Genomic DNA, 16,864 nt, shown 5'->3' with positions numbered 1-16,864 from the left:
AAAGAAAATTAGAAAATGTTTGGCATTCTCAATTGATACTATGGCTGGACCTTGGTTCTCAGGTAAGATTAGACAAAGGAGAGGTGATTTATCTCCCCACTACCTTTGCGGGGGGTGGGTGGGGCAGTGCTACACCTGATATGAAACATAGGCAAGTTAGTGGTTGTTTATTCTCAAAAGGATTCCACTATTCTTATAATGAGGCATTTTCTTCCAGCTTTTAGGAATCTGTTGTCCATTGAACTTAGATTTCAGTATTGTTATGGGCCGAATTGTGTCCCCCCAAAATTCATATGTTGAAGTCCTAACTCCCAGAACCTCAGAGTGTGACTGTGCGGATGCTCCCCAACTTATGATAGGGTTATGTCCTAACAAACCCATCGTAAGTTGAAAATATCATTAAATCAAAAATGCATTTAATACTCCTAATGCACCTAACTTACTGAACATCATAACTTAGCCTAGCTTACTTTAAACGTGCTCAGAATACTTATGGTAGCCTATAGTTGGACAAAAACATCATCCAGTCTATTTTATAATAAAGTGTTGACTGTCTCAAGTGATTTATTGAATACTGTACTAAAAGTGAAAAACCTTTCACTTTTTTCGGTTGTATGGGTACCCAAAGTACAGTTTCTACTGAATGGGTATTGCTTTTGCACCACAGTAAAATTTTAAGTTTTGACTATTGTAAATTGGGGACTGTTTGTATTTGGAGATAGATAGGACTTTTAAGAGGTAATTAAGGTTCAGTTAGTATTGACTATATTCATACTAACTGAACCTTAATTACCTCTAGGGGATGAATCCCTATTCTCCATGATGTGCTTATTTCACATTACATGCCAGTATCAAAACATCTCACATACACAAATATATAACATTGTGTACCTAAAAGAATTAAAATTTTTTTAAGTAAAAAAAAAAAAGGTTCAGTGAGGTCATATAGGTGGGCCTTAATCCAATCCGACTGGTGTTCTTATAAGAAGAGGAGATTAAGACACAGATGCGCACAGAGGAAAAACTGTGTGTGGACACAGCGAGAAGCTGGCCATCTATAAGCCAAGGGGAGAGGCCTTATAGGAAGCCAACCCTGCCAGCACCTTGATCTCGAACTTTTAGCCTCTGGATTTATGAGAAAATAAATTTCTGCTGTTGAAGCCACCTGATCTATGGTATTTTGTTATGACAACCCTAGTAAACTAATACAAACGCTATTTCAAATATTGTCTTTTTATTTGCCTTCGCATCTTTATGTTAATGGGAAACTGGGAAAGGCCTTGTTAGGGGTTGTGAGGCAGATGCCATTTTTAGTTTTAAATTATGAAGTATTTTTAAGAAAACAAAAACTATGAAGAATATATTTAATAAACACCGAAGAACTAGCCACCCAGCTTAAAAAAACAAAAAACAAAAAACATTATAGGTACAGTTAAAGCCCCCACACTCTTACCCTGTTCCCCTCCCTCCCAAGCTGAGATCATTAGTTTCCTGAATTTAATGTCTATCATTCTCATACATATCATTATATTTTTATAGTATATGTTTGCATTAATAATCAATTCATGGTGCTCTTTTGCATATATTTAAAACTTCATAAAAGTATTATTAAACTGTATTTGTCCTTCCAACTTGCTTTTTTCTTTTAGTGCTATGTTCTGGGCATTTATTCATGCTGATAAAAATATAGATAGATACAGATATCTGGTTTGCATGTTTTAACTATTTTTATTTATGAATACATCACAGTTTGCTTACACATTTTATTCTTGAAGGAGCATGTGTAACATTTTCAGTTTTGTATTATTTAGAAATAAATAATGCTGTGAACATTCTTAAAGAGATCTTCTTGGGCATGTGGACAGGAGTTTCTTCAGGTTTGGAATTGCTGAGTCATAGGCTGTGAGTAGTTTCAAATCTGATATATATATATATATATATATTCCCAAATTTTCTCCAAATCGATTGTACAAGTTTATAGTTCCATCAGCTGTGTTACTTCATATACTTGCCAAAATAATGTGTTGCCAGAATTGGAAAACTTTAATGAATTTGATAAGTATGAAATCTAATGGTTTTATTTGCATCTCTGTAAGTATTTTGAGGTTAAACTTTTTTTTTTGAGACAAAGCCTTGCTCTGTTGCCCAGGCTGGAGTGCAGTGGTGTGATCTCAGCTCACTGCAACCTTGGTCTCCCATGCTTAAGTGATTCTTGTGCCTCAGCCTCCTGAGTAGCTGGGATTACAGGCATGTGCCACCACACCCAGCTAATTTTTGTGTTTTTAGCAGAGACAGGGTTTTGCCATGTTGTCCAGGCTGGCCTCAAGAGAGCCACTTGCCTTAGCCTCCCAAATTGCTGGGATTATAGGCGTGAGCCACTGTGCCCAGCCAGAGGTTGAACATATTTAAAAATGTTTTGGAGTATTTGAATTTTCTCTTTCATAGATTCTGTGTTCACATACTTTGCCATTTTTCTATTGGGCTGCTTCTCTTTTTCTTATTGATTTGTGGGAGTTCTTTATGTATTCTAGATATGAAGCCATTGGGTTTGTATGTATCTTCATCCTGGTTTATTGTTTCTCTTTTCATTCATCTTTTGATGCATAGAATTTTTGTTTTCCTAGTGCTGTTAAGCAGGCTATCCAGTAGAGTGTTTTAAATTCTGAGCAAAGCTGTTTTTTCACTTGGAAAACTTTTATTTTCTAGTATATAAGTTGGCAGGTGCCTTAAAACAAACTAATTGTTGTCTTGGTTGTCTTAATATGGAGATTATTGCAAGTTCCGGCTAATAACTACAGTAAGCATAATTTATCCATAAGAAAATTATTTGTAAAGATTACATTTATGTCTTTAATATAAACTTTAATAATTTTGTATTAATCCTCTTACTGTTTTAAAGAACAATTGCATATCTTTTGTGGGTTAAACACTGTTATCTGGCTATGACCGGACTCACTTGATTTTCTATGAAGTCGATTTTTATTTACTCATTTGTTCAGCTAATATTTACAATGAAGAAGGCTGAGGATTCATTTGAATATAAAATACATTACAGTTCACAATGGTATTTTAAAAAGGTTCACAATTAATTAGTTAATATATGTAAATTAATAGCAATTCTTATTTCCTTATGTTAGATCTAGCTGTACATTTAGTTCACCTTGTTTCTTTCTTGTTTAAAAAATACTTACTTTTTAAGAGCTTTAAAGTTTACTGCAAAATTGAGAGGAAGGGACAGAGATTTCCCGCATGCCCCTGCCCACCCCACGTGCACAGCTCCGCATTATCACCATCCCCCACCAGAGTGGCACATTTGTTACAATTGAACCCACACTGACACATCATTATCACCCAAAGTCCACAGTTTACATTAGAGTTCACTCTTGGTGGTGTACATTCTATGGGTGTGGCCAAATGCATAATGACATTAAACCACCATTACAGGACCACACAGAGTAGTTTCACTGCCCTAAAAATCCTCTGTGCCCTGCCTATTCATCCCTCCTTTCCTCCTAACTTCTGGCAACCACTGATCTCTTTACTGCCTCCAGGGTTTTACTTTTCCAGAATGTCACAGAGTTGGAATCATACAGTATGCAGCTTTTCCAGGCTGGCTTCTTTTACTTAGCAATATGCATGTGAGTTTCCTCCTTGTTTTTTCCTGGCTTGATAGCTCCTTTATTTTTAGTGCTGAATAATATTCCCTTGTCTGGATGTGCCACAGTTTTATTTATCAATTCACCTGCTAAAGGACATCTTGGTTGCTTCCAAATGTTGACAGTTATGGATAAAGCTGCTATAAATGTCAGTCTGCTGGTTTTTGTATAAACATAAGTTTTCCGCATTCTTTAGCCATTTAGTGAAATATAAAGAGATGTATATCTTATTATTAAGCTTCCTTACAGACTACATTTTCAGTTATTGTCCAATCTGCTGTTGTCAGATGGACTTTGCCTTGGCTCAGAATAAAGTATATTGGTATCTGAAAAAGCAAGCAAGTTATAAAATTATTAACAAATAATTTTTATATTATTGAAAATGTTAAAATCATAAACAACCCAAACTATAATATTCCAGTTCACTGACAAATTTTACAATGTCAGTTTTATTTTAAAAGTTAACATATCTTAATAACAATAATTCCTTATTAACTCCTGTTTTTGGCTCATTTTTAAAAATGTAGGCTGGGCGTGGTGGCTCATGCCTATAATCCCAGCACTTTGGGAGGCCAAGGTGGGCGGATCACCTGAGGTCAGACCTTGAGACCAGCCTGGCCAACATGACAAAACCCCATCTCTACTAAAGATACAAAAATTAGCCAGGCATGGTGGCAGCTACCTGTAATCACAGCTACTCGGGAGGCTGAGGCAGGAGAATCACTTGAACCCAGGAGGCGGAGGTTGCAGTGAGCCGAGATTGTGCCACTGCACTCCAGCCTGGGTCTCAAAAAAATAAAAATAAAAAAAATGCAAAGTGCTTCAAAATTTAATTTGTATCTGAAAACCCTCCATTACGATTTTTCTTGGCACTGGGGCATGCAAAGAGGCTGCTTCTACATGTAGATTTTATCTCTCTATATACACACAGCTTTGTGGGAAAGTTTTCAGTTCCAAATTATTTCCTTAAACATCCTTAAGTATATGAACAAATATCATGTTTCAGATAAAGTATAAATTGTTTAACAAATGTATGCATTCTCTTGGCTTGGATAAATTGTTTTATTTACCAAAAACATATAGGTTGAGAGATTTATTTTTAGGAATATAGTCTATTTGCTACCAATGTGCATTTTGGTGGATGTGATGGTGATGACAGTGATGAGAGGGGACAGAGATCAGGATCTAGAGAGAGCAAGAGATGGAGTGAGTCAGGAGAGAGAGAGAAAATAAGCAGATAGGCTTGAAATGAGCACACACAGATTTGAGGTATTGAGGGAAACAGCAGTCACTGCTCTTACAAATTCCAGCTGGGTGGTTTCCTACGTGTCTGCAGTAAAGCTCTTGCACAATAAATGAAGAAAATACTACATAAAAGTTTAAATTTTATTGGGTGTGAAGCTCTTAAAGAATTGCTATTCACTAAGAGTTTAAGGAAGACTTAGTTTGAATAAATGAACCCCAACTAAAGGAGTACCCACCTTCCGTTTTCTTTTCTTCATGATATCTATGTGTTTGTCTTCTTGATCACATTCCCTTGTCATGATGGTCCCCAGCCAGCTGGAGCAGAAATTCACCTGAGCAGACATGGAAGAAAAGGTTATGCTGGGAAACGAAACATAAATTTCACTCAGTAAGAGTAACTATCTACCAGAAATGGGAATGACAGAACGACCATAGGAAAAGAAATGGGAATAAACCTTCACATCAACGCTCGTCAGTGCTATTTGCTAACAGATGCATTGAGGTAAATGCTGTTACCTCAAGAAGTGTTATCTTCTGGGGATCCTTATCATAATTTTATTTTAAATTCGAACAGCTGTTGTTTAACTACCACAGACCACAATTTGTCTACAGCTTGGGACCATAAAGTTAGCTTTAATGCACTCTGTTTCTTTTCTCTCCCCTGTATTTGATTTAATTTCCGTGAATCTGACACTCACATGCTATATACCATTTGCATATTTCAATATGTACTTTTGCAGATCCCATAAGTATTCAGGTGCTAAATGTGAAAGAATAAATAAAAATGGAAGTTCCCAATGACAAATTATAAAAGGAAGGAAGAAGAACTCTCAGGTTTCACTTACATGTAAAATATTCTGAACAATAACAGCTCCTTCAGGACAACAAAGCAGGTTTTTCTAGGGTTGTTGGTTTATGGTGACTGTAGAAGAAAACGGATGTTTTTTTTGGCAGTGAAACACAGTACACTTATCTGAATTGAGCCCTAGGGCTTACCATATAGCAACGGACAGAGAACTTCAGCTTTATTTAAGAAATCAACAAATGTGGCCACTTCTATAACCTGAATGTTTTCTAAAATATTCATGGTTTTTCATTCATGGAATTTTAAAAAACTGAGGTTGCGGTTTCAAACAAAAGAAAATTCTAGGGAAGATAGGAGGGGAATAAAAAGTCACTCTTGGGGAAACCTTAAAAAAGATCCCTGTGGGCTACTGTAGCGTATTTAGCGAAGGCGCTTTGTCAGATAGGGCATGAACTAACCTAGAACTCGGGCAGTTACTGGACAGAAAATCAATTTTGGTCAGGGTTAGACGGGCCCAAGACTTGTTCTTTGGTCTTAACTACAGTATGTGAAAACTTCCAAGTAGACGTCAGAGGACTAAAAAAGCTTTTTCTTTTCTTAGTTCTTTAGGCTGGTTTGTACAGATTTCTGCAAGTCTGGGGAACCTTAAAACTTCCATCTCCTTTTCCATTCTTTGAGTTAACAGCAACATATTGGTAGCTGAGCTTCACAATGTTGAGCTCTCCAAGTTGTTTAGGGTGATCTTTAGGCCTCAGCCCTTTTTGAATCTTTGTTTGTTGTAATCAAGTTCCAGAAGGAAATGAGGTGCGATCCTTATTGCAAAAGAATGAGGCAGGCTCTGGGGCTCAGTGATTCACTTACTTGATTTGATTATTAGTTTTCTGGTAACAAATGGTTGGTGCTGGAATGCTGATTTCACAGGCACCCTCACACACGTTAGTAAAATCAACAAGTGTGAGAGAAGCATCCTCAATTGTAAGTTAACAGTAACAACACGATGCTCATACATGTCTTAAAGCTGGAACCCAAAAGCCAAATTATAGTGTATGTTTTATTTCTGAGCCAGTATTCCTCATGGAAATGGGAATAGTCCAAATAGAAACAAAGTAACAGTGAAAAAGTGGGAAGGATTTGCAGGGCAGAATTTGGGAATTTGATTTTGAAGTATGAAAACGATGTCACTATAATCAAGTTTGAATAGTGAGTACATTTTTGCCTCAAATTTTCATTGTATCTGCTTCCTATAGACCCTAGAATTGGAAATCATTGGAAAGGGGATTAGTTCCTTTTAAGGAGAGTTGCTTGATACCCCAAGTTTCATGAGAAAGTTCTAAGCTAATTTACCAGCCAAAGAGGGTGAGACAAGCTACTGTAATCATCACCTGGTACCTTTCCTTTGAAAGAGTCTGACAAATGTTAATTAAGGAAACCTCAGGATGCTTGCCCAGGACAGATAAGGGGTTAATTTCAGCACCTCTGGGAAGAAATGCGAGAGCACCTCTATGTCCTTTCTTCCCTTCTGAACAGCTCTCAGGTTCTTGACACAGAAAGTCTGGGCACAAAAGGAAAGGGAAAGGGAGAAAAGGGCCATTCATGAATGTCTGAAAGAACGCTGGCTGCTTCCCTGAGAGCGATGTGATTTGACTGTGGCGACGTCTCTTCTCTCACCCCAAGCCCAGGAGGGTTATCAGTGAGCAAGGCAGAGGGAGGATCTTGGTTCTATTTTACTTCATTCTGAAAAACTGGAATGTAGCATAAGAGCTAGTTGCATGGCACCCCAAATGCTGCTGAGCCTAATGTACTTTTGCAGATCCTAAATCTGCAAAGGTGCTAAATGTGAAAGAATAATTAAAAATGGAACTTCTCAATGACAAATTTTAAAAGGAAGGAAGAAGAACTCTCAGGTTTCGCTTACATGTAAAAGGAACCCACCATTGAATTAACCACAGTCATGGCTTCCTGCCCGAGTCTCCATGAGATGGCTCCCTATTGACTGTAGCCTCAGCCCAGCCCTGTCTATCTCAAGCCATTTCACACTGAATCATAGCACACAGGTCTGGGACTTGAGGATGCTTATCTGACTGAAGCTTAACTGAGATGAATCATCTTTATAAATCTATTTTGGTCCACTGATAATTGCTTTTTAAATGAAAGCTTTTTTTTTTTTTTTAGACAGAGTCTTGCTCTGTTGCCCAGGCTGGAGTGCAGTGGTGCAGTCTCGGCTGACTGCAACCTCTGCTTCCCGGGTTCAAGCGATTCTCCTGCCTCAGCTTCCCGAGTAGCTGGGACTACAGGCACCTGCCACCACGCCTGGCTAATTAAATGAAAGCTTTAAAAAGTCTTCTTAAAAATAGAGAACATGTTCCCTTTCTCATTCCTCTATAAGGTGTTGAAGTCAAGGAGCATTTTATCTTAGGAGGCAGATACTTATTTATTTATTTATTTATTTTTTATTATACTTTAATTTCTAGGGTACATGTGCACAACGTGCAGGTTTGTTACATATGCATACATGTGCCATGTTGGTGTGCTGCACCCGTTAACTCGTCATTTACATTAGGTATATATCCTAATGCTATCCGCACCCCCCCCAGCACCCCACCCCATGACATGCCCCAGTGTGTGATGTTCCCCACCCTGTGTCCAAGTGTTCTCATTGTTCAGTTCCCACCTATGAGTGAGAACATGTAGTGTCCTTGTGATAGTTTGCTCAGAATAATGGTTTCCAGCTTCATCCATGTCCCTACAAAGGACATGAACTCATCCTTTTTTATGGCTGCATAGAATTCCATGGTGTATATGTGCCACATTTTCTTAATCCAGTCTATCATTGATGGACGTTCGGGTTGGTTCCAAGTCTTCACTATTGTGAATAGTGTGGAGGCAGATATTTATATGGGATAAAGAGATCTTGTTTTTACTCTTAATGTGACTTGTTTTGTGTATATATATTCAATTTAGTTGTTGTTGGAGGTATTCTGCTGAATTTTTAACTCAGGACCCAGACATCTTTATTGCTGTTTTTTCTTAGTGTGCTGAGAATCTTAAGAATATAAAGAAAAACTTTTCATTGCTAAGGGGTGTGTGTGTGTGTGTGTGTGTGTGTGTGTGTGTGTGTGTGTCAGAGAGAGAGAGGGAGAGGAAAAATGAGAATGAGAATTTTTGATGTGCAGAAGATGAACTGTGCTGGACATTAATGGATTAATTTTTAGCAGTATAAGAGATTTATACAGATCAAGCCACAATCAATTTGGCTGTGGGGATTGGGGAAATTTTCATGATAGCTGAAATGAATAGAACTGCTATGTTGTGGACTTATTTGTATAAATAGCTTGGAAACGGTCTTTTGTTCATCTATGAATTATACTCGGTCATGTATTTTATACCCTGATACTGTATATCTCATAAGAGGCATGAAGTTGATCTGTGGACCGGCTGTATGTTTTGGGGTGTTTTTACATGGCTCAAATAAAAATTCATTTATATACTCATTTAGTACAGATGGAATGAAGTATACAAAGATGAGTAAGTCATAGGCACAGTCAAGAACTGTAAAGGGCCTGTAAGCAAAGTGTTAACTGTAAACAGGCGAGCCTACCACAGTTTCATAGATGTTGGTAGAAGACATGAGATTCTTGGGTCAGAAACAAAGGATTTTATTAGTCACAGCAATGACAGTAGCCAGAATTTGCCTTGGTTCCCTGAACCATAACTCTCACAGTGCAACATGAAGAGGGCCAGGTGACCCTGCACGTGAAGAGAGTTGCATTGTAGAAGAACCCTGAATTTAGGAAACCTGGATCTTCTATAACAAGCAGTGAATATGCCTGCTCTTTATCTTGGAGGGAGAAATTATCCTTATTATACTGGACCATAAGCCCCAGACTCCAAAAGGAGACACTATCTTCCAAAACTGTTTGCTATACATCCCGGAACAAAGACAGTCAGGTGCAGGAACATGAGAGACCTGTGGAAGATGTTTTTAAAATCTCCACTTGTAGAAACAATCTCCCTTGTTTCTACACCCCTGCTTCTGGCAAATTTAGGCATGAGTATGCCACTCCATCTGCTGCTCTGGTCAATCTGACCAATAGAGGCTGGGGCCAAATCCATTCAATTTACCTCATATAGTATTTAATTAAAATTATTATCAACAGGACTTCAAGCAGCAGGATGAGGCCATCCTGCAGTATTAACCTCACCGTGACTTAAAGGGTTCCGGATTCCATAAGCTGAACAAGTTCAATGAATCATCCAGATCTATCTTATAGCCAGGTAGTATTCTCCTTTAGTTTCCACAGTGGCTTTTCTCCTCAGTCCAAGGCATTCATCCAGATGCAGCAGGATGTATTAGTGATTGCACAGACTTGTCCTGGCCTGCAAAAAGGAAGCTTGGGGCAGTTGTACTATCCATAACAACCCTGGCCTTTCTTTTTTTTTTTTTTTTGAGACTGAGTCTCGCTCTGTCGCCCAGGCTGGAGTGCAGGGGCGCGATCTCATCTCACCGCAAGCTCTACCTCCTGGGTTCATGCCATTCTCCTTCCTCAGCCTCCCGAGTAGCTGGGACTACAGGCGCCCGCCACCAAGCCTGGCTAATTTTTTGTATTTTTAGTAGAGATGTTGTTTCACCGTGTTATCCAGGATGGTCTCGATCTCCTGACCTCGTCATCTGCCTGCCTTGGCCTCCCAAAAAGTGGGATTACAGGCGTGAGCCACTGCGCACAGCCAACCCTGGCCTTTCAAAGCATAAGTTTTGCATATATTTTGTTAAATTTATTCTTAAATATATATATTTTCGATGTTCTTAAAACAAGAAATGTTTTCTTTCTTTTTTTTTTCCCGAGATGGTGTCTCACTCTGTCACCCAGGCTGGAGTGCAGTGGTGTAATCTCAGCTTACTGCAACCTCTGCCTCCTGGGTTCAAGCAATTCTCCTGCCTCAGCCTCCCCAGTAGCTGGGAGTACAGGTGTCTGCCACCATCCCCGGCTAGTTTTTGTGTTTTTAGTAGAGACGGGGTTTCACTATGTTGGCCAGGCTGGTCTCAAACTCCTGACTTCAGGTGATCGGCCTGCCTCCGCCTTCCAAAGTGCTGGGATTACAGGCGTGAGCCACCATGTCTAACAAGAGTTGTTTTCTCAGTTTCATTTATGGATTGTTCATTGCAATCATATTGAAATACAATTTATTTTTGTATGTTGATGTTGTATCCTGCAACCTTGCCAAATTGATTTATTAGTTTTAATAATTTCAATATGATTCTGTAGAATTTTCTATATATAAGTATGTCATCTGTGAATAGAGATAATTTCACTTCTTCATTTCCAATCTGAATGCTTTTTATTTATTTTTCCTGCATAATTGCCCTGGCTTGACTGCTAGTATAATGTTGAATAGAAGAGGTGAGACTTGACATCCTTGTCTTTTTCCTTATCTTTAGGGGAAAGCATCCAGTCTTTCACCATTAAGTATAATGTTAACTCCAAGTTTTTCATAGATGCCTTTTACCAAGTTCAAGAAGTTTTCTTCTCTTTACAGTTTGTGAAGTGTTTTTAATCATAAAAGGCCATTAGATTTTGTCTAATGCTTTTTGTGTATTTACTGAGACGATCATATAATTTTTTTCCATTGATAGGGTATGTTATATTAATTGATTTTCAGATGTTAAACAACCTTGCATCCTTAGGACAAATTCCACTTAATTGATTATGGTGTATGATTCTTTTTATATGTTGCTGTATTCGGTTTGCCAGTGTTTTGCTGGAGATTTTGTGTCCATATTCAAAGGAGATATTGGCCTTTAGTTTTCTCGTTTTCTGATAGCTTTTTCAGTTTTGGAATTGGTAATGCTGGTCTCAGAGTGAGTTTGGAAGTGCTTTCTTTTTTTAAAAATTTTATTATTATTATACTTTAAGTTTTAGGGTACATGTGCACAATGTGCAGGTTTGTTACATATGTATACATGTGCCATGTTGGTGTGCTGCACCTATTAACTCGTCATTTAGCATTAGGTATATCTCCTAATGCTATCCCTCCCGCCGCCCCCCACCCCACAATAGTACCTGGTGTGTGATGTTCCCCTTCCTGTGTCCATGTGTTCTCATTGTTAAATTCCCACCTACGAGTGAGAACATGCAGTGTTTGGTTTTTTGTCCTTGCGATAGTTTGCTGAGAATGATGGTTTCCAGTTTCATCCATGTCCCTACAAAGGACATGAACTCATCATTTTTTATGGCTGCATATATTCCATGGTGTATATGTGCCACATTTTCTTAATCCAGTCTATCATTATTGGACATTTAGGTTGGTTCCAAGTCTTTGCTATTGTGAATAGTGCTGCAATAAACATACATGTGCATGTGTCTTTATAGCAGCATGATTTATAGTCCTTTGGGTATATACCCAGTAATGGGATGGCTGGGTCAAATGGTATTTCTAGTTCTAGATCCCTGAGGAATCGTTGCATTGTCTTCCACAATGGATGAACTAGTTTACACTCCCACCAACAGTGTAAAAGTGTTCCTATTTCTCCACATCCTCTCCAGCACCTGTTGTTTCCTGCTCTCTTCAAAGCTGTCAGAGAGGGACATTTAAGTCTGCAGAGGTTACTGCTGTCTTTTTGTTTGTCTGTGCCCTGTCCCCAGAGGTGGAGCCTACAGAGGCAGGCAGGCCTCCATGAGCTGTGGTGGGCTCCACCCAGTTCGAGCTTCCCGGCTGCTTTGTTTACCTAAGCAAGCCTGGGCAATGGTGGGCGCCCCTCCCCCCTCGCTGCCGCCTTGCTGTTTGATCTCGGACTGCTGTGCTAGCAATGAGCGAGACTCCGTGGGCGTAGGACCCTCCGAGACAGGTGAGGGATATAATCTCCTGGTGTGCTGTTTTTTAAGCCCGTTGGAAAAGCGCAGTATTAGGGTGGGAGTGACTCGATTTTCCAGTGCCGTCTGTCACCCCTTTCTTTGACTAGGAAAGGGAATTCCCTGACCCCTTGCACTTCCCGGGTGAGGCGATGCCTCGCCCTGCTTCGGCTCTTGCACAGTGCGCTGCACCCACCGTCCTGCGCCTACTGTCTGGCACTCCTCAGTGAGATGAACCCGGTACCTCAGTTGGAAATGCAGAAATCACCCATCTTCTGTGTCGCTCACGCTGGGAGCTATAGACAGGAGCTGTTCCTATTTGGCCATCTTGGCTCTGGAAGGCTTTCTTTTATATTTTGGAAGAGTTTGTGAAGAACTGGCATTAATTCTTTGTTAAATGTTTGGTACAATTCAGTGATGAATCCATCTGGACCTGGGCTTTTCTTCATGGATAGTTTTAAAAATTACTACAGTCATGCACAGCATAATAATATTTTTGTTAATGACGGGCCACATGATAGTGGTCTCATAAAATTATAATGCCATATTTTATAGTACTTCGAATATGTTTAGATGTGTTTACATGTACAAATACTTACCATTATGTTACAGTTGCCTACAATATTCAGTACAGTAACATGCTGGACAGGTTTGCAGCCTAGGAACAATCTAAACCTAGGAGCAATCACACTGAGGCCATACAGGTGTATAGTTAGCTATACCATCTAGGTTTGTATAAGTACACTCTATTATGTTTGCACAACAACAACAAAACTGCCTAAACACATTTGTCAGAACATATCCCCATAGTTAAGTGATGCATAACTGTAATTCAATCTCTATACTTGTTATAGATCTATTCAGATTGTGTATTTCCTCTTGTGTCAATTTTGGTGGTTTGTGCCTTTATAGGAATTTGTCCATTTAATCAAAGTTATCTAATTTAGTGTATCATTGTTCATAGTATTATTTTATAATAAGGTCAGTAGTGATGTCTTTTTCATTTCTGATCCTAGTAATCTGCGATTTCTCTCTTTTTTCTTGATCAATTTAGATGAATATTTATCAATTTTGTTTTTTTAAAAGCTACCAACTTTTGATTTCATTGATTTTCTCTATTATTTTTCTATTCTATATTTTATTAGTTTCTGCTCTAATCTTCATTTTTTGTTTTATTTTTGCTTCTGCTTGCTTTAACTTTAGTTCTTTTTTTCTTCATTTTCAAATGTCTATCTTAAGATGTAAGTTTGGGTTATTGACTTGAAATCTTTCTTCCTTTCATTTGCAGTTGTCAGTTTTCCTCCAAGCACTGTTTTGCTGTATCTCATATATTTTGGTATGTTCTATCTTCATTTTCATTCACTCAAAATTTTTCTTATTTTCCTTTTAATTTCTTTTTTGATCCATTGGTCATTTAGGAGTGTATTGTTTAATTTTCCCATATTTGTGAGTTTCCTGTTTTTTTCTGTTATTAATGTCTTATATAATTCCATTGTGGTCAGAGAACATGCTTTGTATTATTTCTGTTTTTAAAAATTTATTGAGATTTGATTTATTGCCTAACAGACTTTTCTAGAAAATGTTATATGTGGGCTTAAGAACAACGTATATTCTGCTTTTGTTGGGTGAAATATCTTATAAATGTCTTCTAGGTCTAGTTTATAATGTTTATAGTTCACTAGGCTTACAGTGTTGTTCAGGTCTTCTGTTTCCTTGTTGACCTACTTAGTTGTTCTATCAATTGTTGAATGTGGGATGTTATAGTTTCCAATTCTTATTGTTGCATTGTCTATTCCTCTCTTCATTTCAGTCAGCTTTGGTTTTAAATATTTTGGTGCTCTGTTATTACATGCATATATGTTTATGATGGTTATATCTCCCAGATGGATTGACCACTTTATCATGATAAATTGTCCATTTTTATATCTAGCAACATTGTACGTTTTAAGTACGTTTTGTCTGAAATTATTATAGCCATTTACTCCAGCTTTTTTGTAGTAGCTGTTTGCATGGTATGTCCTTTTTAAAAAAGTCTTTTTATTTTCCATCTATGTATTTCAATTAAAAGTATGTCTCCCTTAGACAGCATATAGTTGAATCATATTTTTTTTTAACCCAGTCTGACAATCTCTGTCTTTTGATTGGACTGTTTAATTCATTCACATTTACTGTTATTTTCAATTACAGTTGGGTTTACATCTGCCATTTTAATTTTAATTTTTATATTTTATGTCTTTTTGTTCCACTATTTTTCCTTTACTGCTTTCTTTTGCATTAAGCTAATATTTTCTAATGTAGCATTTTAATTTCTTTAAGAATTTTTTTTACTAATTATTTTTGAAAATTTTTAATGGTTATTCTTGCTTACAATATAGATCTTATCACAATCAGCTTCAGATTTATACTAAATTAATTCAAGTGAGACATAGAAGTATTCCTTTTTATTCTTCTTATGGTATTTTGTTATATATATTACATCTATTTTTCTTTTCCCTCTTTTTGTGGTATTGTTATAATTATTAAATCCATACAAGTTACAAATTCAAAAGGATTGCTATAATTATTACTTTGTATAATTTTGTCTTTCAAAGGAGCTAAGAGAAGAAAAGAAGGCAAGTTTATATTTACAGCTTTTATTATATTAGCTTTGTATTTATTGTTTCTGGTCCTCTTCATTTGTTATTCTGAATTTGAGTTATCGTCTGGAGCCATTTTCTTAGCCCAATACAGCTTTGTTCCTATCTATTTCCTTTGTGCTGTTTTTGGCAACTATATTGCATTTCTATATGTTATAGGCTCAATAACACATTATATACATAGTGTTCTGTATACTTGTTTTTAAAATAAGAGAAGAAAGTAGAATAAATATGCATTTATATGGGTATTTTGATTACACGATTGTCTTTACCAGTGCTCTTTTTTTTTTTGTATGGATTCTAATTACTATCTGTGGTCATATCAGCCTGATGAACTTCTTTTAGTATTTCTTATATAGCAGATCTGTTAGCAACAACTGTTTTTTTAGTTTTTATTTATCTGGGAATGTTTTCAGTTTTCTTTCAGTTTTGAAGAGTAACTTGCTGCATAGTTTTTTCCTTGAACACTTTGAATATATTATCCTATGGTTTCCATTGCTTCCGCTGATGAGTCAGTTGTTAATCTTATTGGGGCTTATATGTAAGTGACAAATTGTTTTTCTTTAAATGCTTTTAAGAGTTTCTCCTTGTCTTTGATTTTCAGTATTTTTGCTATGATGAGACTGCTTCTGAATCTCTTTGTGTTTATTCAACTTGGAGGTTGTTGAGTTTCCTAGATGTGTAGATTATTGCTTTTCAATACATTTTGTAAGTTGTCAGTCATTATTTATTCCCCTATTTTTTCTACTAATTTCTTTTTCTCTCTCTCCTTCTGGTACTCCCAGTATGGACATGTAGATGTGCTTAGTAGTGTCTTACAGCTCTCTAAGTCTATCTTTATTTTTCTAATTTTTTTTTTTTTTTGAGATGGAGTCTCACTCTGTCGCCCAGGCTGGAGTGCAGTGGCGTGATTTCAGCTGTCGCCCAGGCTGGAGTGCAGTGGTGTGATCTCAGCTCACTGCAACCTCCACATCCCTGGTTCAAGCAATTCCCCTACCTCAGCTTCCCGAGTAGCTGTGATTACAGGTGCACACCACCACGTCTGGCTAAATTTTTTGTAAAGATTTTTAGTAGAGATGGGGTTTCACCATGTTGGCCAGACTGGTCTTGAACACCTGATCTCAGGCAATCTGCCCACCTTGGCCTCCCAAAATGCTGGGATTACAGGTGTGAGCCACTGAGCCCAGCCTCTTTTTTTTTTTTTTTTTTTAAATTATTTGGATTTCATACCATCTACTGATAGATCTTCATGTTTGTTAATTCTTTCTTTTGCTTCTCAGATCTACTCTTAAACCCCTTTGGTGATTTTAAATCTTAGTTACTGTATTTTCAACTTCAGAATTTCCATTTGGCTTTTAAAATATATACATAGTTTCTACCTCTTTACTGGTATTCTCTATTTCATATGACATCGTCCATAAATGTCCATTGTAATCATTCTTTCATGTCTTTAATTATGATTTCCTTTAGGTATTTGAGTATACTTATAATGGCTACCTTGAATGCTTTTTCTGTTAGATCCAATATCTAGTTTCTTTCACAAGCAACTTCTGTTGTCTGCTTTTTCCTGGCCTACTACCTTCCTGTTTCTTTGTATATCTTGTAATTTTTTTGTTAGACACCAAGCACTTTTGATAATATAGCAGCTGTGGATGCTGGTGCTCTATCCTTCCC

General features: G+C 37.4%; 2 long non-coding RNA genes and 1 pseudogene across 3 annotated transcripts in view, besides 1 other annotated feature; 2 read left to right on the top strand and 1 right to left on the bottom strand.

Moving 5' to 3' along the window:
• Window positions 1–16,864, top strand: part of OFCC1 (orofacial cleft 1 candidate 1 (pseudogene)) — a 506,631-nt pseudogene that overhangs the window by 64,755 nt on the left and 425,012 nt on the right. The gene's annotated exons all lie outside the window — the stretch shown is intronic.
• LOC105374918 (uncharacterized) lies at window positions 1,709–6,068 on the bottom strand. The gene is made up of 3 exons (XR_926456.3): window positions 5,747–6,068; window positions 5,138–5,233; window positions 1,709–3,982 (listed from the first exon to the last, which is right to left on the bottom strand). It is a non-coding gene; the product is annotated as an uncharacterized LOC105374918 (long non-coding RNA).
• Window positions 6,170–16,864, top strand: part of LOC124900218 (uncharacterized) — a 45,268-nt gene continuing 34,573 nt past the window's right edge. The window contains exon 1 of the long non-coding RNA XR_007059909.1: window positions 6,170–6,906. This is a non-coding gene — a long non-coding RNA (uncharacterized LOC124900218). The remainder of the gene's footprint in view (window positions 6,907–16,864) is intronic.
• Window positions 12,539–13,040: an enhancer, noted in NCBI's record as "H3K4me1 hESC enhancer chr6:10134047-10134548 (GRCh37/hg19 assembly coordinates)". NCBI's record gives its function as "activates a minimal SCP1, AML or CMV promoter by ChIP-STARR-seq in naive H9 embryonic stem cells {active_cell/tissue: H9 hESC(naive)}" and the evidence as "EXISTENCE:reporter gene assay evidence [ECO:0000049][PMID:30033119]".

This window comes from Homo sapiens, chromosome 6 (assembly GCF_000001405.40).
Source record: "Homo sapiens chromosome 6, GRCh38.p14 Primary Assembly".
Taxonomy (NCBI): Eukaryota; Metazoa; Chordata; class Mammalia; order Primates; family Hominidae; genus Homo; species Homo sapiens.
The sequence above is the reverse complement of the archived record's forward strand: the minus strand, read 5'-3'. Positions and strand labels throughout refer to the sequence as shown.